Source organism: Homo sapiens, chromosome 12, assembly GCF_000001405.40.
Source record: "Homo sapiens chromosome 12, GRCh38.p14 Primary Assembly".
NCBI classification, from domain to species: Eukaryota; Metazoa; Chordata; class Mammalia; order Primates; family Hominidae; genus Homo; species Homo sapiens.
The window spans coordinates 38,686,993-38,713,557 of record NC_000012.12 but is presented as its reverse complement, the minus strand read 5'-3'; the positions used below and the strand labels follow the sequence as shown (position 1 = coordinate 38,713,557).

Below are 26,565 nucleotides of genomic sequence, written 5' to 3'. Positions count from 1 at the left end.
ACTGGAATGCAAACCCTCACATCTGTCTCTCTCAGATTTTATCAATTTGCGATCTTACTCTCTCCACGAGTCACACAGCAATCATCAGATAAAACAGATGGACCAGGCTTTCTGGAATAAGAAAACATGCTTTTGTATTGCCTCTACCGAATTTGTCTCAGCTGAACTCTATATCTTCGTTGTAGTTACTTGGAGGAAGGGCAAAATCAAGATTAGAAGCACAAACAGCTTGTTTTCTTCATATCTTAAGAGAAAGGGAGTATGAGAGAAGGTAATAGGAGAGACAGTAAGTGGGCAGTAACTTCCTTATTGAATAAGAAATTCAATAAGGAATAAATGTTTGCGAAAAAGTCAGCCCAATTTCAAAGAAGTGGTTGCTGATAATTGAGGCATTGTATAGTAGTGGCAAAGAATTTGGGTTCTGGCATTAATTGTACAGTTCAAATCCTAGATCTGCCTCTTGCTAGCATAACCTGTTTTCATTTCTGTAAAATAGGAATATGAATAACAATGATTATTTCATAGAGTGGCTGTGAGGGTTAACTGAATTTCATGTAGTTAACCCTCAATAAATGCTAGCTATTATTTTTCTGAAAAATCTCAAAGTTCTAATACGTCTAAGCTCATCGTATTGTTGTCATCATATTGTTGTAGTAATTGCCCTAGTTATAAGAGATATGAAGAAAAAAGTATGTATTCAAATTTACAAAGCCCATGAAAATCACTTTCTTGTAGTTCATTTCTATTTGAGGATAACCCCAGGATACTTCTTTCAGTCCAGACAGTCCTGTTCGCTCCAACCCAAACTCAACTCTAAATCTAAAACTTGTTTGAAAAAAATTTTTAAAGAGCTATCTACCTATCATAAGCTAATCTTAAAGGCTAAAGTGGGCTTCTTGATACTACTTATTTTGGAGGCTAGATCAATATCAGTAAGTTCCTTTATCAACAGGCCCCATACAGATTATTTTTTTTACTTAAAAATACTTGAACAATTGAAATGACTCTGTAAAACATTTAATTTAGTTTTATAAAATTGGTGGCAGCCTGGGCATGGTGGTTCACACCTGTAATCCCAGCACTTTGAGAGGCTGAGGCAGGTGGATCTTTTGAGCCCAGGAGTGTGAGACCAGCCTGGACAATATAATGTGCCCGCATCTCCATAAAAACTAAAAAATATAATAGTTGGGTGTGGTGGCACATGTGTGTTCTCCCAGCTACTCAGTGGGCTAAGGTGCAGGGGCGGGGATTGTTAAACCCAAGAGGTTGAGGCTGCTGTGAGCCATGATGATGCCACTGCACTCCAGCCTGGCAACAGAGCAAGATCTCTTCTAAAAAAAAAAAAAAAAAAATGGCATCATTGCATTGGATATGTTGCTATGTTGCTTCAGGAAGCACATCTGGCCAGAACATGCAACACTATAAAGTTTTTTTTTTCCTTAATCCCATTTCTTATTCGAAAATGGAATATACATGTCTAGAATTTTTTATAATGCTTTTTGTTGTGGCACCCAAGTACTTTCATTCATCAAATCAGTGGAAAGCTAAACTCTGTGGTGCTGAGTAGGGATAAATCTAATAAAAACAAAGCCATTCTGCCTTCTATAAATATTTTCACATGGAACATTATCATATCAAAACTGAACTCATTTTCACATGGAACATTATCATATCGAAACTGAAAAGTTTGTTTAGAAAACAAACTTTTAGGAATATTAAGAAGACTGTTATAAACATTTATTTGGTTAAGATTTGATTCTCATTTTTGTACGTTTAAAATGTATACTTGGGCCGGGCGTAGTGGGTCATGCCTGTAATCCCAGCACTTTGGGAGGCCGAGGCGGGTGGATCACCTGAGGTCAGGAGTTTGAGACCAGCCTGGCCAACATGGTGAAACTCCGTCTCTACTACAAATACAACAGTTATCTGGGCGTGGTGGCGCATGCCTGTAATCCCAGCTACTTGGGAGGCTGAGGCAGGAGAATCGCTTGATCCCAGGAGGCGGAGGTTGCAGTGAGCCGAGATTGCGCCACTACACTCCAGCCTGGGCAGCAAGAGCAAAACTCCATCTGGAAAAAAAAAAAAAAAAGAACTACACTTGGAAAGCTTAGAGATATCTAGTTACATACTTTATGATTGTGATTTCATTGCCAGTTTGTTATGCTGCAGATAAATTTTTTCAGAGCTCTCCATTTCAAAGTCAAAGGAAACTCTTCAGGTATGCCTCATCGTCAGGACTAGCACTAATCTTGCCAAATATTGACACTCTATTGGTATTGGGCAGTTTCATAGTTATGTTGCTTGGTTACAGTGTGCACTTTTAGCCACACACAGTGAAAACTGAAAGAACTGAGTGATGCAACAGCAATGAATTTTTGCAAAACTATTATTAATAGTAGGAAAACAACTTTAAATATTTTCCTCCTGATGATGTACTAGTAATTTTCTCTTGAAACATATAACTTTTCTTCGAAACTTAGAAACTTTTGTAGGAACAAAATTTTATCATCTATTTCTGTGAAATTATTCTATTGTAGACAACACACTTTGCTATTTCTAAAATAGTTTCACAGTGGTGGGCAATTAAAAGGTTGGGGGCTGGGAGCAGGAGAAACAGAAATACAAAAAAACAGTAGCTTAGCAAGGGCAGGAGGTAGTAGAGTGGGAAAGAATTTATCACGGACATTGCTTAGAATTGCTAGTGTACGGTGATATTAAAATGTAGGTTGCATATGCATAAGATATATTACTATATTTGAGTTCTGTACAGACAGTGTACCCCTCTACTGCCTGTACTGGTTACAGCTTCATTGCCCCACCCTTGATACATCACTAACCCACATTATGGGAAGGACTAGTGGAAAATAAATTTATGTTAATATAAAGAAAGAACTCTCTTCTGACCCCACAGAGGAGAGTGTTAGCATGAACCAGTAGAAAATGGCATGGGTTGCTCACGAAATTTGTCCTACAGCATGTAGAGTATTTGCTATGTGCAAGTACTTGAGAGTTTTATTTCTAACATTTAGAAGTCTCCTTCAATGTGGTTGTTACCTGTCTGTCATATGAGAAAACTAGGACCCAGAGATTTGATAGTTTTGCAAGGAGTCACAACTAGCTAGCTAGTGGTGATTCTGGGCTTCAAACTCCAGTCTATATGACTCAAGAGTTCACTGTCTTCCTACTAGGCAGGCATTACCTCTCTGGCACCTACCTCATTTTAAATGGGATTTTGATGGATAGTGCTTACAGTTTCGGTTTGGGGTTGGTTTTTTTTTTTTTTTTTTTTGTTAGCTTATTTTGATTATGTCACATATATTTTCTAACTATTGGTTAGAAAAGAGGTTGGCAATTTTGCATACCTTTTTGATAAGGTGTTCTTGAATTGCATGAAGATAAGCTAGCCTCCTTATGAAGTTGTATTTTGGAGTAGTAGTATTGTGTGAAAAAAATATAGAAATCAATCTTCAAAGTCTAGAGAAATTAGAAAGTTTTATTGATTTGTAAAAACTGAATTCAGTAAGGTTGAAGAATAAAGAGTTGAGGGATCATATCTCTTGTCTCCAGTTATTTTTTTTATTGTTACTTTTGACATTTCACTGATCCCCAGGAATCCAGAGTGCATGAAGGAAAGAAAGGATAGAAAATAAGGCAAAAGTCAAAGTTTACAATTACTTCATGCAGTAGAATTTTGTTTGAGGAAGTACCTAGATAACACCTAACAAGGTTAGATTATAAATTCATGGCTCAGTTTTGGGTTGAACAGATTGGTACCTTATTAGTGGGTGTGAAGGAAAGGAAATCTGACATGGGAGCATCAGATTCTTTGCAATAACCTGAACCTCTGGTAGACCCAGAAATTTGATAAGCATTATACAATCCAGTATTCAAAGAAGTATGCTCACGTTCTGAAAAACTAGTATCAATAATCATGATAATAATGAGTCATCTACTTAATGGGCCTTCTAAAGGACAGGTTCTTTTATGGTCCTCACAGCAACAATCAGGGAAGGTTTTATAATTATTTACAAGTGAGCTGCAGAAGATTGAATAGTTTTTTCAAGATCACGTGAATCATGAGTGAAAGTATTTATATCTGAATTTGCATTTGTGCATCTCACAACCTGCCCTCATTCTAGCAGATCTTACTTGGCAAGGTTAATTCACTGAGTAGTTCATGGGCATGGGATGCCAGAATTTTGAAGATGCAATAAAGTTTGGAATGAGGCATCTGTCTGCATTGTCATTCAGGTAGTTGAACCAATTTTAAGAAAAGCAAAAGGATAAGACAGAAAAGGGCTCAGGGTTTAGCCCATGGTGAGAGAAGGTCAAGAAGGGTTAGGTTGGATGACAATGTTTGAGGCAAGTGCACCAGGGCTTCAGGGCATGTTCCAGAACCAAAGTGTGAACTAGAATACATATTGGTAAATCAAGGCAGAAGCATAGTCCTGGTACCAATATAGAAAGAATGTGAGGAATATTATTGTTAGGTGGGCATCCCAACTACATTTTTGGGTTCTAGATACCAACAGCTAGTGGATGTGAATCTGTTTGTCAAGATTAATTTAAAGAGGAGTGGGAGAAATCCACTGTATAATTTACAAAGTTCAGTTTGTGCAACTGAACTAGATTTGAAATTGGGAAGAAAGGAAAACAAGCCTTCTGCACATCCCTATCACAGTTTTGTTAGTTCTCTGTAATTAATTCAAAATAACAGCTGTAGAAAACACATGTAAGATGGTATTACTCTCTGTATGTGTATATGTGTGTCTAGTTTTCTTTGATACTCACATATATACTTGCTTCCTGTGGATCTTTGCTGTGCTAGTAAATTATTCTCATCTTGACATCTGATTTCTCTGTCATTCACAGCTTTTGGAAAGATGGTAAAATAGGGGCATTTTCCAAGTTCATATTTTAGTAGTACTAGGACATATGTATTGGGAGATCTCCTAAGATGTTAGTACTAACTCATGCAATTTGGCAGGCATAACTTTTTATATTCTAAAATATAATGCTGCTAACTGGATTTTATGAAATCCTTCTGTCTTTTCTGCTTCTAAAACATAAAATGACAGCTAAAGTAACACTTCCTAAACAAAATGTTTCGAGGATTTAAATGTGATTGTTTTATGAATATTCTGTCAGGAGTAATCTTATATAAATTTGGATTTTTTTTTTACTTTGACACGATTGATTTTTTTTTTCCTCTAACATTAGGCTTCAAGCAATATTAGAGAATGAAAAAGGGTAATGACGTTACTGATTGAAATGTTGTTTGGTTTACTTTTATAACAAATTATGTATTAAAGTCTTCAAGAAACCTGTTTTATAGCTTGAGGTTATAGTATTGCTAGGAACTTTCTTTAAATTTTTTATCAGTTAATATTTTCTAAATACATAGAATATGACACTTGATTTAGTAAGTATGTATTATAATATGAATGGAAACTCTTAGGAATCATGGCATTGAACAAACTGATATTCACAGTAAATGTGCAGGTGAATTTTAGGTTATGCTATTGATTTTGAATTCAATGATAAAATGCTGTGCTATCTTTGTCATTGAACAATATAAAGCTGGAGTTTTGCTCTGTGAGTTCAAGAATGGTGTTTTATTTGCTCCTGTTTCTCTTCATCCTATAGCACAGTGCTTGGCAATTGAAAGGTGCTCCATAAATCATTGTTGAACTGTGGTTTTCTAAGTAGAAAAATCTCAATGGTGTGATAGCAGGCTAAGTGACCATCGCTAGCATGAGCTGCTTTATTTAGTAAGCCATAATATTTTCCTTCTGAGCTGAATGCTGCTGCTGATTCAAAGTAATAAAGGCAAGAGATTCTTCCTGACATGCAGAATGAGACAAAGAATTAATCAAATCTTGTCATCAATCAGTCATCAAATATGCTTCAGGATTCTGCTTTACTCATTGAGTGTCTCTGTTGCACCATAATTACCAAATGGTCTTATTTATCATTTAGTGCTAAATGAATGCATCCACCTTTTATACTTAGGCTTAGAGTGTCCTGGGTTTCAACAGTGCTCATTGGTCCTGCCTTTCATTCTTCTTCCTTCCTTCCTTCTTACCTTCCTTCCCTCCTCTCTCTTTCTCTTATCTTGTCTTCTTTTCTACAGTTCATTGTTTTATTGTACATAGTCTACATGGTTTCATAATTTAGTTTAGCTATTGATAGTTTTAGTAAGTTTAATTCTAAATATCTGCTCCTTTTTATTTTCATTTTTTAACAGACAGAGTCTCACTCTGTCGCACAAGCTGGAGTGCAGCAGTGCAAGTATAGCTCACCGCAGCCTCAAATTCGTAGGCTGAAGAGATCATCACACCTCAGCCTCCTAAGTAGCTTGGACTCCAAGTGTACACCACCCAACCTGGTTATTTTTTAAAATTTCTATACAGACTGGGTCTCAGTATGTTGCCCAGGCTGGTCTGGAACTCCTGGCTTCAAGTGATCCTCCCACCTCAGCCTCTCAAATGCTGGGATTACAGGTGGGATCCACTGCACCTGTCCTCTGCTCTCTTCTTCTTTTTAACTCTTATGTATGGTTCTTTAGCAAATAGCCATAACTTTTCTTTGTAGCTTTGGTAGGGACAACTTTGTCTTTGAGAGGACGTTTGCATCTATGACTACTGAAGTCTTGTATCTGCAACCAGTGCTTCTAGGAAGCTGACGGTTATGCTGTAGCATTCTGGGCTACCCTGGAGAACAAGTTAGAAACAGTCATAAACAAACGTATCCATTTGCCCAGTGAACACAGTGAGGTTTCAATATGTGGAAAGCATTGTGCAGACACTGTTGCAAGAGAGAGTTGAATCAAGATAGTAATGTGTCTTCTCCTACAGTGTACAGAGATTGAACCAAAGACTGGACTTCTAAATTGATCTTTATAATCTGCTAAAACATATATTCTTAAAGCTCAAAGTTATTTTTTATTCCTAATGAGGTGTTATTTGAATAAAATAACATAAAAAGAATATATACATATTATTTTGTTATTTATATACTTGATAACATATTTGATAGAAGGAAAAATTTGCCCAAGCATGAGATTATATCCAGATTTTTTTATCATTAAGAATATTTACTGTCTATATCTGATAGAAGAATCCCATTTCTCATGAGAAAATCAATGGATAAAATTCAGTGTTTCTTCAAAACCAAAACTTCCTTTATCAAAACCTGTAGAACACAGGTTTCAGCAAACTTCGTAAAATATTCAGATCAAATTTGGGTTTGTTATTGATTTTCAGGAGGATTAATCTCTTTATATTAAAAGCTCATTTGGTCACACACAAAAAAGAACATCTGTTTAGTTTTTTTCTAGGATTATGGCATAATATTAATAATATAATCCATATCCTTTATTGTGTGCCTATTATAGCCAGAAAGTTTGCAAATATTTAACTGGAGAAACAGATTAGTTGAATGTGAATTCAAATTCCAATGCTGTTGTTTATTACTGGCATAGAAATTATTAAGTTTTGTGAGCATAGATTTCCTTCTCTGTAAAAAGAGGATGATAGTATCTTCTCTTTAAAATTATTTTGTGGTTAACTGGTACAAGCCATGTAACATCACATTATATATAATGTGTGATATGTATAATGTGAATATCTTATGATATATGTATATATATATTATGTGTGTAAAATAAAATGTATATGTAATATCTCATGTTGTTTCCTTTCAGTTCTCATTTTTTTTCTATCTGCCAGGTACCTGCCCTCCAAGAGTTTTGAAATTTGGCTAAGGTCACCAACTGGGTTGCTGGGACTCAAACCCAGTTCATTCAGATTCAAAATCCACACCCTTTCTAATCTACCTTACTGCCATGTATCACAGTCATTTCTCTCCCTACCACAGCATGACGAAGCAATGTGCTGATGGTGATTGTTCTTTTCAATCCCTCAAAGGGGCTTTTATCTGAAAATGTTCTCCCAGAAGTCTTACTATATTCTTTTTCTAAAAGTTTGTACTCACTTAGGTTCATGCTGGTTAGTGTTATGCTCCAAATTAGCCTATATTCTTAGCCTATAAACCTGATTTCTACTCTGAGAAAAAAATACCATATAACTATTAATATAAAGGGAATCTATACTAGTTTTTGTTAAATATAAGCAAGAAAGGTTGTTGTTTCCGTAGGAAAAAAAATGTGTGAATTTGATTCAATCCCTGCATTGTATTTAGGTCTTTCCAGGCCGAATATTTGGAGAAAGAAGGAAATGTCACAATAGTTTTTACTAAGAGGACTACAAGAGACCCTATGCTGTAATAGCAGAATCGGATTGCTTTATTTAAATCCCATCATTATTTATCCAATAGTTCCAAAATTGGAAGTGTTAAATCAATTGTGCTGTGTGTCAAAAGTAATTTGTTGCTAAAAAATAGTCAAAGTACTCATGTTTTCAGATGATTTACTTTTTAATTAAAAATTATTTTGTAGATTAGATGTGATTCCAGGTTATTACAGTATTTATAGCATTGTCATGTATTTGTGTTTTTATATTTTCCCTGGTAAGGAAGAGATGGAATTACATATAGAGTCATAGGTATACTCAAAAAAGTGAATTTCTTATGTGACTACCACTACCTCATTAGTTTCCATCAGCAAAAAAAAAAAAAAAAACTAAACTAATTCACTAAAATAAGTTTGGGTAACAACCATGTGCCGAAATTTAAATATATATATATATATATATATATATATATATATATACACATACATACACACACAGATGGTCCTCAGCTTACAATAATTCAGCAAGATTTTTCTTTACCATAGTGCAAAATCAATACACATTTAGTAGAAAGAAAAGCAGCATGATACTCTCTTCTGATGCTGGACGGTGGCCACAGCTCCCAATCAGCCACAGGATCACTGGGTAAACAACTGATGCTCCACAGTGTACTGTGTTGCCAGATTATTTTGCCCAACTATAGGCTAATGGAAGTGTTCAGAACACAGTAAAATAGGCTAGAGTAAGCTCTGACTTTCCTTAGGTTAGGTATTTAAATGCATTTTTGACTTAAAATATTTTCAACTTACAGTTGATTTATCAGGATGTAACCCCACTGCAAGTTGAGGAGCATTTTGTAACATATTTTATCAATCAGTATATATCTGTATTTATCTATATCTGTAAATACACACACACACACACGCACACATACATATACACACAAACACACAAAGAGAAATGCTGTAAGCAATGGGAGACTAGTGTCTGAAATACTTCATTTCTGAAGAAAGCAAAAGAAAATCTTGTGTGTTTCTTTTTCCAACTTTTATTTTAGATTCAAGAATTACATGTGCGTGTTTGTTACCTGGATATATTGTGTGATGCTGAGGTTAAGGTTACAAATGATCCTGTCACCCAGGTACTGAGCATAGTACCCAACAGTTCATTTTTCAGCCCTCAAGCCACCCTTCTTCCATCTCTCCTCTAGTAGTCTCCAGTGTCTGTTGTTGCCATCTTTATGTCCATGAGTACCCAATGTTTAGCTCGCACTTATAAGGAAGAATACGTGGTGTTTGCTTTCTGTCCCTGCATTAATTTGCCTAGGGTATCGGCCTCCAGCTATATCCAAGTTGGCTGCAAAGGGCATGACTTTATTCTTTTTTGTGGCTTTTTCTATGGTTAGATTTTCACTCCCTCGGTTAGATTTATTCTAGATATTTGTGTGTGTGTGTGTCACTCTTGTGAATGGGATTGCATTCTTCATTTGGCCCTCAGCTTGAACATTATTGGTATATAAACAAGCTACTGATTTTTGTACATGATTTTGTATCCTGAAACTTTGCAGAATTTATCAGTTCCAGGAGCCTTTTAGTGTAGTATTTAGGATTTTCTAGGTATAGAATCGAGTGGTGTGTGAAGAGAGATAGTTTGACTTATTTTCCCATTTGGATGCCTTTTATTTCTTTCTCTTGCCTGATTGGCCAGCTCTTCCAATACTATGTGGAATAGGAGTGGTGAGAGTGGGCATCCTTGACTTGTTCCAGTTCTCAAGAGGATTGTTTCCAGTTTTTGCCCATTCAGTATGATGTTGGCTGTGAATTTGTCATAGACGGCCCTTATTATTTCGTGGAGTGTTCCTTCAATGCCTAGCTTCTTGAGGGTTTTATCAGGAAGGGATGCTGGAGAAAATCGTGTGTTTGGGGGATTGTCAAAAAGAATTAGTTTAAGGAATGACATTATTAGAGATGATTTTAGCAATGCAACACTTTAAAGGACATGCTAATTTCACGATTACTACAGAACAATTTTGGAAACATAAATTAATAATACATGATGGCATTGAGGCTGGAAAATAATTATTTGCAGTTTGACTACTTTGTTATGAGTCACTTAATTACTCCAAAATAGGAACTACTTTTATTCCCGAGACTTTAGTTTTCATTGTATGTGACTATAAATATATGTAACTATAAATATATTTTTGCCAAGTTCTTACCATGTAAAACTGCCTATCTGATGCTATCCAATATGTACTGTAATATATTGCTCTTAATTAACGTTTGAGAAAATCAGTGACATTAAAAAATATAACCGAAATGGAAAAGAAACTCCTTTTATCAGGTTATTTCATTATTAATGAGTCTTGTTTACTTCTATTCCAGGACGCAAATCAATTTCACAGTGGCTATTGATTTTACAGCATCAAACGGTGAGTGTTTTGATTATCCCCTGATAAAAATCATCAGCAATTACATGAAAAATAAATTTATATTTTCATAAGTGTTAATTTATTTCTATATTTACATACTTCTGAAGTTTTCCATATAAAATTTACATAATTTTTTCTTTCTTTTTAATGTTGTGAAATAGTTCAAATATACAAAAGACTAGAAATAATATAACAAAAATGCTAATAGTCTCATTCAGATTTATTATATATTGAAATATTGTCATTGTTTTACATGTGTTTAAAATAATACAAATTTTAGATGTACTGAAGCCTATTGTATCTCTGACCCATTCTCCTACCCTCTGTTCTTTTCCATCTATAACTATAATTCTGAAGTGTATTAAGTTATAATCCTCATTTTTATAGTACTTTTGTATGTATGAATTTATATAAATGTAATTCAACAGTATCTGTCCTTTATAAAGTTGGTTCACTTTTACTCAATTATTAATTTTTAATAATTACTTATGTTAACACATTAATATCTAATTCACTCAGAGGGACGGATATATAACAGCCCATGTATGGATATTCATAATTTATGTATTAAACCTTTTAAGAAAAAAAGATAGTGGGCTTTTATTTTGAAGCAACTTTATTTCAAACAGAACAATCATTTGAAATTAGTTATTATGTATCATCAGAATGTTAACTTCATTATGTAACTTTTACCAGAAGTTGCCACTAGTTTATATTTGTCTTTTTTTTCTTTCAAATGGCTTATTGTCTATGGATCCCACTTTATATTCTTTTTATTTCATTTTTATTTCACAATCATTCACGTTTTACAAAACAATAGAAATTTTAGGGAAGAAAGTACCTTAGAGGTCACTTAATTGAACCTTCTTCTTATACAAGCGAGGACATTCAGATCCAGGAAATATTTTTACTAATAAACACACTTGACTTGTTAGTTCTAGAGTTAGAACTACAGATAAGACCAGACTCTAATTCAGCTTTCACTGCATGTCACGTTCTTTCTGCAACATTATGGCTTCCAATTAATTATTTTTACTCGTGTTTTATTCAGCATAATATAGAACATAGAAATAATACCTAAGGCCAGGCATGGTGGCTCATGCCTGTAATACCAGCACTTTGGGAGGCTGAGGCGGGCAGATCACCTGAGGTCAGTAGTTTGAGACCAGCGTGGCCAACATGGTGAAACCCCATCTCTACTAAAAATGCAAAAATTAGCCAAACGTGGTGGCACACACCTGCAGTCCCAGCTACTCAGGAGGCTGAGGCAGGAGAATCACTTGAACCCAAGAGGTAGAGGTTACAGTGAGCCAAGATTGTGCCACTGTACTCCAAACTGGGTGACAGTGAGACTCCATCTCAAAAACAAAACAAAATAAAACAAACAAACAAACAAAAAGAAATAATACCTAAAATCCAACTGCTTTAAAATACTAGATTGTGTTCACTGATGAATACTAGCACAACAACTAAGATAAGCAAGAAATTATTAAATAAAAAGACAAACATTTTTGATTTGAGAAGAAACATTGACTTGAGAAGAAACAGATAATCAGAGTAGACCTATAACAAGTAAAATGACTAAATTAGTAGTTTTTAAAAGACTACCCACAAAGTTAATCTGAACCCAGGGCCAGATAGCTTCACTGGTAAATTCTAACAACTATCTGAAGAGGAATTAATACCAATTCTCCACAAACTCTTCTGAAATGTGAAAGAAGGTTACTTCCCAGCTCATTTTGTGAGGTTAATATTATCTTGATACCAAGAGAATTACACACCCAAACAAAGTAAGATTTGTCCTTGCAATGAGAGGATTTTTAATACTAAAAAATCAAATAACATAACCTACCTGTATTAGTCTTCTCTCATGCTGCTAATAAAGACATACCCAAGACTGGGTAATTTATAAAGGAAACAGGTTTAATTCACTCACAGTTCTACATGGCTAGGGAGGCCTCACAATCATGACAGAAGGAGAATGAGGAGCAAAGTTATGTCTTACATGGTGGCAGGCAAGAGAGCATTTGCAAGGGAACTCCCCTTTATAAGACCATCAGATCTTATGAGACTTATTCACTATTATGAGAACAGTATGGGAAAGACCCACCTCCATGATTCAATTACCTCCCACCTGGCCTCTCCCATGGCACATGGGAATTATGGGAGCTACAATTCAAGATGAAATTTGGGTGGGGACACAGCCAAACCATTATCAACACCCTGTCGATAGAAGAAAACACAGAAACCACATGATCATCTCAACTGATGCAGGAAAAGCATTTTACAAAGTCCGGTGCACTTTCATGTTGAAAACACTCCACAAACTAGAAATAGAAGGGGACTTCCTGGCCAGGCTCAGTGGCTCACGCCTGTATTCCTAGCAGTTTGGGAGGCCGAGGCGGATGGATTGCTTGAGACCAGCCTGGGCAACATGGTGAAACCCCGTCTCTACTAAAATACAAAAAATTAGCCAGGCGTGTTGTCACACGCCTGTAATCCCAGCTACTAGGGAGGCTGAGACAGGAGAATCGCTTGAACCTGGGAGGCGGATGTTGCAGTGAGCCGAGATCATGCCGTTGCACTCCAGCTTGGGTGACAGAGCAAGACTCCATCTCAAAAAAAAAAAAAAAAAGAAGGGGACTTCCTAATCTGATGAGGGAATCTATGTAAAGTCCACAAATAACATGATACTTAGTGGTGAAAAGCTTAACATTTTTGTCTTGAGATGAAAAACAAGACAAAAATGTATGCTCCCACCTCTTCTATTGAACATTATACTGGAGGTTGTAGCCAAGACCATTAGGCAAGAAAACTAAATACAAAATATCTGGATAAGAAGGAGAGAAATAAAAGTATCCTTATTGCAGATGGCATGATCTTGTATATAGGATATCCTAAAGAATCCACTGAAAATCTACTATAACCAATAAATAAGTTCAGCAAGTTTGCAGGATAGAAGATCAATATATAAAACTCAGTTCTTTTAATGCACTTCCAAGAAACAATTAGAAAATGAAATTCAGAAAACAATTTCCTTTATCGTAGTATCAAAAGGAATATTATACTTACGAATAAATTTAACTAGCAATTCTTCTTCTGGAAATATATATAATACAGATTTACCTGCACTCGCAGAAAATGCTATAGTTCATAGTAATTTGTAAAAAAAAAAAGTTTAGAAAGCTTCGTAGAGTATATTAGCTGGGTACTGGTGAAATAGACCGTGGTTCGGCCACAGAATGAAACACTATGCAGCCACCAAAAGGTAAGAATGAGGGAAAGGAAGGAAGGAAGGAAAGAAGGAAGGAAGGGTAGGGGAAAAAGAGAGAAGAAAGGAAAGTGGACCATTCTTTCTACTAATATGGAAAGACTTCTAAGATATATTGTTAAATGAAAATAGCAAAGTAGAGAACAGAGTTATCAGTTATCAGTGTGCTGTCCTTGACATAAGGATCGGGGCACATAACAATATAAATGCATAAATATTAGAAGTATACACAATGAACTAACAAAAGGTGACTAGCACCAGTGAATTAGGTGAACTAAGAACATTAGAGAGCAACTTCTTTATGGAAATCTTTTTATAGTATACTGATTGTGAGATTGTGAATACCTGTTCATAAAATAAACAAATATGGTTAAAAGAATGGAAAACAAGAGAAAAGAAGTGCAAAACTTATAGTCCAACAACTCTGAAACAAGATAAGTGCAAATTATTTTTTGAAGAAAACATTGTTGAAATAAATTAAAAATGAAAATAAAGAGAGAAACCAGCCATGCTTTTGGATTAGAAAACTCCACATTGTTAAGGTGGCACTATTCCCCAGAGTGATCTACAGATTTAAAGCAATCTTTATCAAAATCTGAAAGGATGTTTTGGAAGAAATTCATATGGAAATTAATATGAAATTTATTTAAAGCAATCCTTATCAAAGTCTGAAAGGACTTTTTGGAGGAAATTCATACGGAAATTAATATGAAATTGCAAAGGATCCAGAAGAGCTAAAACAAACTTGAAAAAGAACATTGAAGTAGGAAGAGTCAACATTTCTCACTTTTAAAACTTACTACAAAGCAACAGTAATTAAGACAGTGTCTTCTGGCATAAAGATGATTATTCAGATCAATGAAATGGATACAAGTTTGCAAAAGTAAACCCTGATGTCTAAGGTCAACTGATTTCAAGAAGAATACCAAAACAATGCAACGGGGGAAGACTGGTCTTAGCAAATGGTGCTGGGACAACTGGATAGCCACATGCAAAAGCAGGAAGTTGGACTCTTCCCTCGCATACGAAAATTAACTCAAAATGGATCAAATACTTAAATGTAAAAGCTAATGCTATATAATTCTCAGAAGAAAACATAGGGATGCATCTTCATGACCTTGGATTTGGCAGTTGATTCTTAAATAAGATACCAAACTCATGAGCAACAACAACAACAAAATAGGTAAAATGAACTTCAAAATCAAAACTTTTTATGCTTTGAAGGGCACTATCAAGAAAATGAAAAGACATCCCCCAAAATGGAAAAAATGTTCGCAAATCATACCTCTCATGAGGGACTTGAACCTAGAATATATAAATAACTTACAATTCAATAAAAAGACAAATAATCCAATGTTAAAAGTGGGCAAAGGATCTAAATAGATATTTCTCCAAAGAAGGATATACAAGTGGCCTATAAACACATGAAATGATTCTTGGCCAACTTAGGCATCAGGAAATCCAAATCGAAACTATAATGAGATATCATTTCATACCCACTAGGGTGACTGTAAGAAAACAGTCAAATAACAAGTGCTGGTGACGATATGAAGAAATCAGAATCCTCATAACATTGTTGGTGATTGTGTTGTTTCATTTGCATTGCTGTAAAGGAATACCTGAGACTGGGTAATTTATAAAGAAAGTAGGTTTATTTAGCTCACAGTTCTGCAGGCTGTATAAGCATGGCACCAGCATTTGCTTGGCTTCTGGTGAGGCCCAGGAAGCTTTCAATCATGATGGAATGCAAAGGGGCAGTCAGCATATTACATGTTGGGAGCAAGAGAGAGAGAGAGAGGAGGAGGTACCATGCTCCTTTTAGCAACCACCTCTCACGTGAACTAACAGAGTGAGAACTTCCCTCATTACTAGGAAGATGGTACCAAGCCATTCATGGGGGATCCTACCCCATGACCTAAACACCTCCCACCAGTCCCCATCACCAACATTGAGATTTGGAGGGGACAAACATCCAAACTATATCAGTGGGAATGTAAAATTGTACAGCCACTTTAGAAAAACACTTTGCTAAGTTCCTCACATTGTTAAATATAGAGTTACCATATGACCTAGCAATTTCATTCCTAGATATATACTCAAGAGACTTAAAAACATATGTCAGCAAAAAAACTTATACGTGAATATATATAACAGCATAATATCCCAAATGTGGAAGCAACCCAAATGTCTAACAAGTGATAAATGATAAAATCCATACAATGGAATACTATTCTGCAATAAACAAAAATAAAGCACTAATACATGCAGGCTATAAGATAGATGGTTGTTGAGATCTATAAGCTAAGTGAAAGCAGCTAGTTACAAAAGATCACATGTTATGTGATTCTGTTTTTATGAACTGTCAAGAAGAGACAAATCAATGGAGACAAAAAGACGATTAGTGATTATTTAGGGCTAGGGTGGTAACTAATGGGTACGGTTTCTTTTTGAAGTGATAAAAATGTTCTGAAATTAACTATAGTGATGATTGCACATAACTATGAATATAGTAACAATCATTGAATTGTTCTTTGTTTTATTTTGTTTTGTTTTTTGAGATGGGGGATCTCACTCTGTCGCCCAGGCTGGAGTACAGGGGTGCAATCTCAGCTCACTGCAACCTCCACTTCCAGGGCTCAAGTGATTCTCCAGCCTCAGCCTCCCAAGTAGCTGGGACTACAGGCACATGCCACCAACTCCTGGCTAATTTGTGTGTTTTTTGTAAAGACGAGATTTTGCCATGTTGCCTAGGCTGGTCTCGAATTCCTGAGCTCAAAGCGATCCACCCACCTTGGCCTCCCAAAGTGCTGGGATTACAGGCATGAGCCACCATGCCCAGCTGAATTATATATTTTAAATGGTTAATACGTAACTTATGCCATTATGTCTCAATAAACTCTTAAAAATATTCTATTGAACTGTGAGTTTCTTACAAAGGTATAGTACATCTCTAAAGCAAAATCAGATATAATTTTGATAATATTGGGTATAACAAAAGTATACATATTGTCAGTTTGTTGAAAGGGTTAAGTGAGCTATGATATAAAATTGTCAATACATGTTAAGTTCCGTGTTATAATTATTATGGCTATTAGTTGGGCCCCAATGTTATTAACCTACTACAAATTCATTGTTTAAAAGCATCTTTGCAGATACAGAGGAAATACAAACACTGTCCCAGACTCAAGGAGTTGACTCAATACTTTAAATTGCCATTTTTTTTTTTTTTTTAGTATAGAACACAAGATCCATAACAGTATAAGAGAAAAGACAATAAGGGCTGGAATAAACAAAAAGGGTTGTCTAGTATGTGTGAGACATAAGTTGGAGGAGGAGAAGGTGAATTTCAGGACAGGGTGGCAACTTGAGAGGTAGAGGTGGGAGGGAAAGTATCATTAGCAGTAATGTGAAGAGACTGGTGTAGAGGAAGATGCTGGAAAGAGATAGGTAACATCTTTGTATGGGTACAAAGGGCCCAGCTATGCATGTTAGGTTAAAATGTTTAAATGTTCTGGGGTACTAATTATATTTTTTTATTTACAGTTTTCATAGTGAAGTAAAAGTATTTGCCATATTGTCACCATTGGATTAAAACTCTTCTATATTTGTGAGTTTGAGAGTTGGGGGAAGTATTCGTTTGTTTGTTTGTTTGTGTTTGTTTTTGAGACAGGGTCTTGCTCTGTTGCTCAGGCTGGAGTACAGTGACACTATCAGGGGCTCACTGCACCCTTGACCTCCCGGACTCAAGTGATCTCCCACATCTCAGCTTCCTGAGCAGCTGAGACTACAGGCACATGCCACCACACCCAGCTGATTTTTGTATTTTTTGTAGAGGCAGGGTTTCACCATGTTGGCCAGGCTGGTTGCAAACTCCTGGGCTCAAGCTGTCCACCTGCCTCAGCCTCCCAGAGTGCTAGGATTTCAGGCATGAGAGTTGTGTTAAATAACCATTTAGTCTAGTAATGGTATTTTTAAATCTCTGATTCCACTGGGCTTTGGATCAAGTGGCAAAGTCCCTACTTTAGAAGCAAGTGTCAAAGAAAAATCACACTGGACACATTAAAAAGGCAAGAAAGGCTTTATTTAAGACCATTGCAAAGGGGTCAAGACTGTTACAACAGAGGACAAAAATTGAACTCAACTACTCCAAAACAAAAGGTTGGAGTGTTTGTGCTTGCTGAGGTGAGCTACTGGAAAAGTCCTAGAGGACATTAGCCCGGAAGTTGGTTTGTGTGCTTAGGCCATCTCTGTTTGCTAATTGGTTCTTATTGAAGTTAGGCTTCTATCTTCTCACGGAGACTGGAAGATAGGGCTGCTGTTTTTCTTGATGTTTATATTTCAAAGGGATGCCTTCCATGTCCTTGAGAAAGATACTCCTTGGTTGTAGAAGATTTACATCTCAAAGGTGCAGAGGAAGAATTTACAATTGCAAGTTTTCTAAAGTGAGAGCTGTAAGAAAAGAGCGGTCAGGGTCTTATAGTCAGGAAGGAACTTTCTACAAGTTTAGTCAAGTTGAGGGGAACATTAGGCCATTTTGATAAGAAGATACTTTTTTAGTGATTTTGTTATGTGGAGCCAGCCCTTGAACGCTGGTAACTCTTGGAAATATAAAATAAAAAAAAGTTCAATTAATTGTTTTTAGGACAAAAATATTATGTGTATAATTACCTGTCAAATAACCCAAGGGGAGATCTTTATTTTGTTTCTCTCTGGATCTCAAGTGCTTTTTGTTACTTTTGTTCCTTATCAGAAAAACTATGTCCTGAGGCTTTTCTTCTTCAGACAATGCTTTAACGTAAAATTGAGGTTCATATGCTGCTACAAGTCTCATTTAACTTTCCATTTTTATTTAAGGAACCAAATGGACTTTCAGGCTGCCTTTATGCTGGTAATTAGGGCAACTTGTTGTGAATTTCAATGTGTTTGAGTGGTAGCACATATTAATACATTACACTTTCTCTCAATTTCATCACTATTCAAGTGCAACATCCTACACAGTATAAGCATTTTGAAATTCAGAACCTTGTGGATGACCCAGACTATAATAACTGCAGCAGTTCAGCTTACAATTTTATGGTGCTTTATTATTTTTAATCACTTTTAAACGTGTAATCTCATTTTGTCCTCCGGGTAAACACAGTGGTAGGATTTATTTTACAGAGGCTGCCATACAAATGGCAAGACTTGACTCTGGCCTCTGGCTCCTAGCTTAATGTCTCATTCGAAAGTTGTGAAGAATTTTTTAGATCTAGATATTTAATCAGCCTGCACTTGAAAATCACTATACTTCCCTTTTTTAAGTGCTAAATTGGGATACTTCTCAAATATTCAGTTATTTATAGGAAGCCTTCATAATTATTGAAGTCCATTAAATCTATTGGGTCATCTTGCCATAGGCATAAGGATTCAAGCTAAAGGCACATGATTTTGTTTAAAAATAAAGATTACAATAAAATAAGATTAACAAAAGTACTTTTATACTTCCAGAACAAAAACTCAAAAATACCCTGTGGCATTGAAAATAAGAATCATTTCTGAAAACTTCTGCGTATGCTTTGGCATATCTTAGAACTTTCTATATGTCTAATATAATATAACAAATATTTCTGTGTTAATATCCATCCAAAAAGAAATGATTTGACACACTGTATATAGGCAGAAAAACATAATTTTGAATATTTCATTCTGAAATAGACACCAAGAAAAATTTTGTTAAATTTATTTACCCTAATTGCTTATGTTTGAAATATGTGTTCTGTCATCAGGCAACCCTGCTCAGCCCACTTCCCTCCACTACATGAATCCTTACCAACTGAATGCCTATGGTATGGCACTAAAAGCAGTGGGAGAAATTGTTCAAGATTATGACAGTGATAAAATGTTTCCAGCTCTAGGATTTGGTGCAAAACTGCCTCCAGATGGAAGGATATCTCACGAATTTGCTTTGGTAAGAATTTGTCAAAAGGATTTGATGTTTTGAAAAATTAATGTTAGACCTTTTAATATTGCTTTGGTACTTATTCTTTAGTCAGTCAAGTAGCAAGCTTTACTGACTGTAGCTTAATTTTGGTAAGTAATTGACTTTGGAGTGTGAACTTAATGGGAAAAAAGGACAGCTAAATAGCTTAGCCATAAATCTACCTGAAGTGCACCCACCTGATTTACAAATGGGGGTCTATTTTGGTTATCTATTGCTTGCTAACAAACCTTCCTAAAACTTAGAGATATCAAACAATATCATTCTATTATGCTTATGATTTGTGCCTCAGGAATTCAAGCAGAATATAATGGGAGACAGCGCATTTTTGCTTTGCAGTACCTGGAGTCTCAGCTTAGGTGACTTGAATGGCTAGAGATGCCTGGAATTGGTGACTGGGGCCATATTTTTCAACTTAGTTCTGGCTGTCTTTTGAATTCCTTAGATCTTCTCCATGTTATGTCTTCTGGGGCTGATATGTCTCCTAACATAACTTCTTTGCTCATGTTCATTCATGTCTTGGGCCTGAGCTTGGATAGCTGAAAAGCTGGGGTTGCCTGGACAACTCTCCCTTGTTTTACATATGGCCTGTCTCTGTAGTTATGGAGGGCTTCAGAACTGTATAGTGGTCTCACTGTAGCAAGATTTCTTATGTAGCAGCCAGCTTTCCCAGGGTGAGTAATCTAAAAGTCTAGGACAGAAACTCCAAGGATGTTTATATCATATTCTTAGAAGTCCCAAAATGTTATTTCTGCAACATCCTATTGGTCAGGCAAGTTACTAAGACCATCCCAGGTTCAAGGTAGAGGAATTAACCTTCACTTCTCAATGGGAAGAGTATCAAAGAATGTGTGGCTCTCTGTAATGTACCATCATTTTTAAAACCTAAGAAAAGAAATAATTGTGTTAAACTAAATGAGGTTTATTAATTTTCCTTTCATATGTTTCTTCTCACCATTGAATGTTTCCCTTTCTCTGTCTCTGTAATTCTCTCCTTTGCTGCCTTTCCTGCCTCTGTGTTCATTCCTTGTAACCAAACCTATACAAATATATACTGGTTTAGCCTCCAAAATCAGAAAAGTAAATGTTCCAAAATCTGAAACTTTTTGAACTCAATAAGATACTCAAAGGAAACGCTCATCAGAGCAATTTGGATTTTGGATATTCATATTTGAGAGGCTCAACTGGTAATTATATAAATATTTTAAAATCCAAAGAAATAAATTCAAATTTGAAACACTCCTGGTTTCAGCTAAGGGATACTCAACCTGTATTCTTAAGGAAGGATTTGTGCCTTACTTTTTTTTTTGGTTTATTTGTTTTTGTTTTTGTTTTTTTGAGACAGAGCCTTGCTTTGTTGCCCAGGCTGGAGTGCAGTAGTGAGATCTCAGCTCACTGCAACCTCTGCCTCCCCGGTTCAAGCAGTTCTCGTGCCTCAGCTTCCCAGGTAGCTAGGATTACAGGCATGCATAACACCTGGCTAATTTTTGTATTTTTAGTAGAGATGGGGTTTCACTGTGTTGGCCAGGCTGGTCTCAAACTCCTGGGCTCAAGCAATTCGCCTGCCTCAGCCTCCCAAAGTGCTGGGACTGCAGGTGTGAGCCACTGTGCCCAGCATTAATTTGTTCTTTGAGCCCAATTAAAACACATATAGGTTAGATATTGCTGTGGTTTCAGTCTGTCCTCTCCAGAGTTCAGGTGCTGCTAATGTAATAGTATTAAGTGAGGCCTTTAAGAGCTAGTTAGTCTGCGAGGGCTCCACCCTCATGAATGAAATTAGGCCCTTATAAAAGAGGCCTTACTCAGCTCGCCCTGCCTTCTGCGATGTGAGGATACAGCCCTTACCAGGCAACTGAACCTACTGACTTCTTGATCTTGGACTTTCCAGCCTCCAAAACTGTGAGAAGTACTTTTCTATTGTGTATAAATTACCCAATCTCAGGTATTCTCTTATAGCACAAACAGAATAAGACAGAGAGATCAGACCTCTTTAAATCTATGAAAAATAGTCTCCCACATTGATGATGAAAATAAGAATGATTATGTTAATGATAATGTTTCAACTTCAGTAATCTCTAATGATTATATTACTTTAAAATTTTCAAAGCACTTTTGTTTTTCTTTTGGATAAGACAGACAAAGGTTAAGTAGGTTTTCAGTGAAATAGTATTTGACTCAATGCTGAGTATTTACTGAGTATCGAGTCACATACTTTATACTCATTATCTCATATAATCTTCATAAAATTCCTGTGTGGTAAATATTTCATGCTGACACATTGCACTGCTCTAGAAACTGCCAATCTCATTACCAACGGTGAGAAAAGTGCACCCAGGAGTTGTATAACTCAACTCAGAGGCTCAGAAGTTAACCATTGTCCCAAAGGACAGGACTTGAACCCAGGTCAGTCTTATTTTAGAATTCATGCTCTTAACTACAGCTAAACCCCATCTTATAAAAGCACCTGTAATCTCACCTCTTGGATGCATGCTTATATTAACACCATGATATATGTACCTTTATATAAGTTTTTATATAAAATTTCATCTTTCTCAAATGTTTTAAGAGGAGTATTACATTTTTATTTTTGTATTTATTCTTACTTTTCTATTCCATCACCCACACAATTTCTAGAGAGGTTGCTGGAGGGCTTAATTCTTTCTTCCATGAAATAGCCCACATGCCACACTCCCAGTGTCATAAAAATGAGTATCTGTTGGGATTTTGTTGTGTCTTAGAAAATTAAAATCTCCCAGAAACTTATAAAACCATGAAAATCACTCATGTGATTCTAAGTCTGAAGTGCCTCAGGAAAAAGGTCATGAGCTATTTTAAAGCCTAAGAAAAGGAATAATTGTGTTAAGCTAAATGAGAGGTTTATTAATTTTCTCTCCATACATTTCTTCCTCCACTAGTGTGTATTTTTTTCCTTTTTCCTCCCCTCCACTTTTCTCCTTTTCTGCTTTTCCTACCTCCACATTTACCCCTTGTAACCAAAGCTATACAAGTATCTACTGCTAAGGAATGATATATATTTTTGGTTATTTACACCATAGTCTGTTCTTTGAGCCCAATTCGAACATTTATGGAATAGAGATCATACCCCTTTAAATCTATGAAGAATAGCCTCTCAAATTGACGATGAAAACAACAATGATTATGTTGATGATAATGCCTCAACTTTAATATTACCGAATGATTATATTACTTTAATTTTTTTCAAAGCACTTCTGTTTTGTTGGATAAATAAGGCAGATATGGGTTAAGTAGGTCTTTAGTGAGATAGTATTTGATTTCATTCTTGCTGAAGTATTCTGTGTTAAGCTCATCCTAAGTCACTGCAATATCTATCTGTAGGTACTGAAAATGACAAATACAAAAAGTTCAGTTTCATGACAGTCTTGTCTTTCATGAACTACCTGATGTTAATAAACCCTCGTATTTCCATGGTATGAATTTGTGATATATGTTCTCTAACATTAACCTATTTATCTCACCACATTCACATAATTCTTTTGGATAGCAAGGGAGTCTTCTTAACAACTTAAATTACCCCCAGTGTATAAGTTTTGGCCAGTACAGATGTTGAACTTAAGCTTTGCTCGTTTGAAAAGGTCTCAGTAAATCCCAGCTTTTTATGTGAGACACACTATGAGAAAAGGAAAAGGAATGGGAGAGGAAAGGAAGAATTTCCTAATATTACCATTTCAAGACTTATGGTTATGAAAAGAATGAGTCATTGCTCTCCTCTCATTATCATTCTTGATGACTCCTTTTGGATTTATAACTGAAAACGCAATAGTGCGGAGCTCTGGTAGAGGTATTTCTAATGAGCTTGTGGCCAGTGGTCCTTAAAAGAAGGTCTTCCATGCGGACCAATAGAGAAACGCTACACCTGTCCAAGTGATTTCTCCTGGGAAATACCTAAATGCACTTGCATGCTTTTCACTTATTTTGGCATTTATACAAATGTATGCAATTTAATATTTATGTGTATGTATTTTTTTGCCAAGTAGGCACCAGTAATTTAATAACTAAGAGTCTTTAACACTGTACTGTATATAAAACAGAAGCTCAATAGGTGTTTGTTCATTGAATAAAAGGAAGAATTCTCTCAGCTTTTTCCCACAGTAAGCAACAGTCACATTTCAGAGTAGAGCAACAGCCCCTAAGAGCTTCTTTTCAGTATTTTGTCAGCTTGTTAGCCCTGCTGAAAACTGTCACAGGCTGCAGGCAGCAACAGAGATGACAGACTTCTTGCATGGAGATGAATCCACACCCTCAGCACAATCCCTGAGGGAGCTAAACGGGAGGAAAAATGGGTAAGAGCTGGGCACTCCTCCCCACTTAAGTCTGAGTGGTGAGATTATTAATCATTTTAAAGTCAGATCTTTATGCTTTTCTATGTGTTCTACAAGTTAACATGTGTTATTTTATAAATGGAAAGGTTGTTAATTAGGAGGGAAATATGAAATAAGGCATCCATTGCCCTCTTCATTAATAAACAACAAAATTAAATGTGCTTATTTTTTAAAAAATCCTGTGTTTTACTTTTGTGTCAGAACCACAACTGGACTTATTCTAATTTGTTTTAACAAGCAATAACTGATTCCCTGCATAATTATTTCAAGAAATGAGTTTTTAAACACATTTAAAATGTTTTTACTTATTTCACTAGTTTTGGGGGAACAGGTGTTTTTTGATTACATGGATAAGTTCTTTAGTGGTGATTTCTGAGATTCTGATGCACCCATCACCTGAGCAGTGGTCACTGAGTTATCCTTCACCTTCCTCCCACCTTTCCCCGCCAGTCTCCAAGTCCATTATATCATTCTTATGCCTTTGCATCTTCATAGCTTAGCTCCCACTTATAAGTGAGAACAGACAATATTTGGTTTTCTATTCCTGAGTTACTTCACTTAGAATAATGGTCTCCAACTCCATCTAGGTTGCCGTGAATGCCATTATTCCATTCCTTTTTATGGTTGAGTAGAATTGTAGTATACACACACACACACACACACACACCACATTTTCTTTATCCACTTATTGGTTGATGGGCATTTAGACTGGTTCCATATTTTTGCAATTGCAAATTGTGCCACTATAAAGGTGTGTGCAAGTAACAGACTTAAAAATCTTTTTATAACTCATTACAACTTTCTTATTAAGAAGAAAATCTCATTTTAGTAGCTATAAAATATTTTAAATAATCCTGATATAATCCAGAGCATATACTAAAAAGAAGGCATAATTTTATATAAGGTATTCTTATCGTCTAAGACATATGAGGAAACCTTAGAGCAACTTATTATGGTAGGACTAATTCATAAATCATTAAACATTCCATGTTGATGAATAGAACATCTAATGATTACCTTTCCATTCTCAAAGAAGAGAAAAATGGTGACCTTGTAGTTTCAATTCCAGAGAAATAGTGATAACATACAGTTTCATCAAAACGTAAACCTCCAATCAACATGTTAAAAAATAAAAGTAGCTCAGGACTACCCTAGTTTGTAACTGTTCCCTTAAGGTAGATATATAATACATTTTTATATGCCCAAAATCAGTAATGAGTTTTAATTTTAATTAGCTTCATACCTTATCAAGGGAAAAGAGCACCATAAAACCTTAAAGGAATGTTAAATAGGTCGGCTCAGATTAACATCAAAACACTAACTGCTTTGTGCTAAATATTAAACTTATCTTTTACATTCTGTTTTCAGCCAAGTCATGCAACCAGTTTTATAATGTAAAGCAGGCTTTTATTTTTATACTTTCAAAAATGTATGAGGGTTAATAAAAATGTTTGAAGAAAAGACAAAATTAAAAGAAAAAAAGTGGATATAAATCCCTCTGTCACGAATGATAAAATTGAAGTAGTTGGTAACATTTGGCCCCGTTTCCTAAGCTCCCCAGCCTTGTAGAAAGCTTTGCATTTTGGCCGGGTGCGGTGGCTCACGCCTGTAATCCCAGCACTTTGGGAGGCTGAGGCGGGTGGATCACCTGAGGTCAGGAGTTCGAGACCAGCCTGGTCAACATGGCAAAACCCTGCCTTTACTAAAAATACAAAAATTAGCTGGGTCTGGTGGTGCATGCCTGTAGTGCCAGCTACTTGGGAGGCTGAGACAGGCAAAGCACTTGAATCCAGAAGGCAGAGGTTGCAGTGAACCGAGATCCGGCCATTACACTCCAGCCTGGGCAACAGAGCAAGAGTCCGTCTCACAAAAAAAAAAAAAAAAAAAAAAAGAAAGTCTTGGCATTTCGTAATTTGGTAGCATAATGGTGTTTAAGAAATTGAGCTCTGGAGTTAGACTGCCTCGTTTAAATCTTAGCTCTCCTCTTCGTGTTGTGTGACCTTAGACACAGTATCAAAGTTCTCATTGCCTTGGTTTCTTTATAAAGTGGGGTTAATGGCAGTCCTACATTTTTAAAGTTATGGAAGTTATATATGTAAATATTTTAGTATAAAACTTGGTATATAGAATTCAATAAATTTTAGTTATAGATTACTGGTTACTTGTGATTGTTCAAGTAAAAACATGTATGCTAAAATTATTCCTAACTCTGTTTAAATGTAGTTAGTATCACTAGTGCATAAAAAAATATACACATGATTTTAGATATTCCC

The 26,565-nt window shown here is 35.8% G+C and overlaps 1 protein-coding gene across 7 annotated transcripts in view; it reads left to right on the top strand.

Annotated features, from left to right (window-relative positions):
* CPNE8 (copine 8) overlaps positions 1 to 26,565 on the top strand; it is a 254,633-nt gene that overhangs the window by 193,278 nt on the left and 34,790 nt on the right. For 4 of the 7 annotated variants that reach the window (XR_245896.5, XM_017018852.2, NM_153634.3 and 1 more), the window contains exons 14-15: positions 10,637 to 10,683; positions 19,720 to 19,901. Coding sequence is in view for 5 of the 7 variants with exons in the window: in XM_017018852.2 (XP_016874341.1) it covers positions 10,637 to 10,683; positions 19,720 to 19,901 (229 nt within the window). In the remaining 2 variants the exon portion in view is untranslated. Of the gene's footprint in view, positions 1 to 10,636; positions 10,684 to 17,497; positions 17,647 to 19,719; positions 19,902 to 22,223; positions 25,761 to 26,565 lie in introns of those variants that run through there. The other 3 variants (XR_007063052.1, XM_011537951.4, XM_011537952.4) reach the window with 3 other exon arrangements.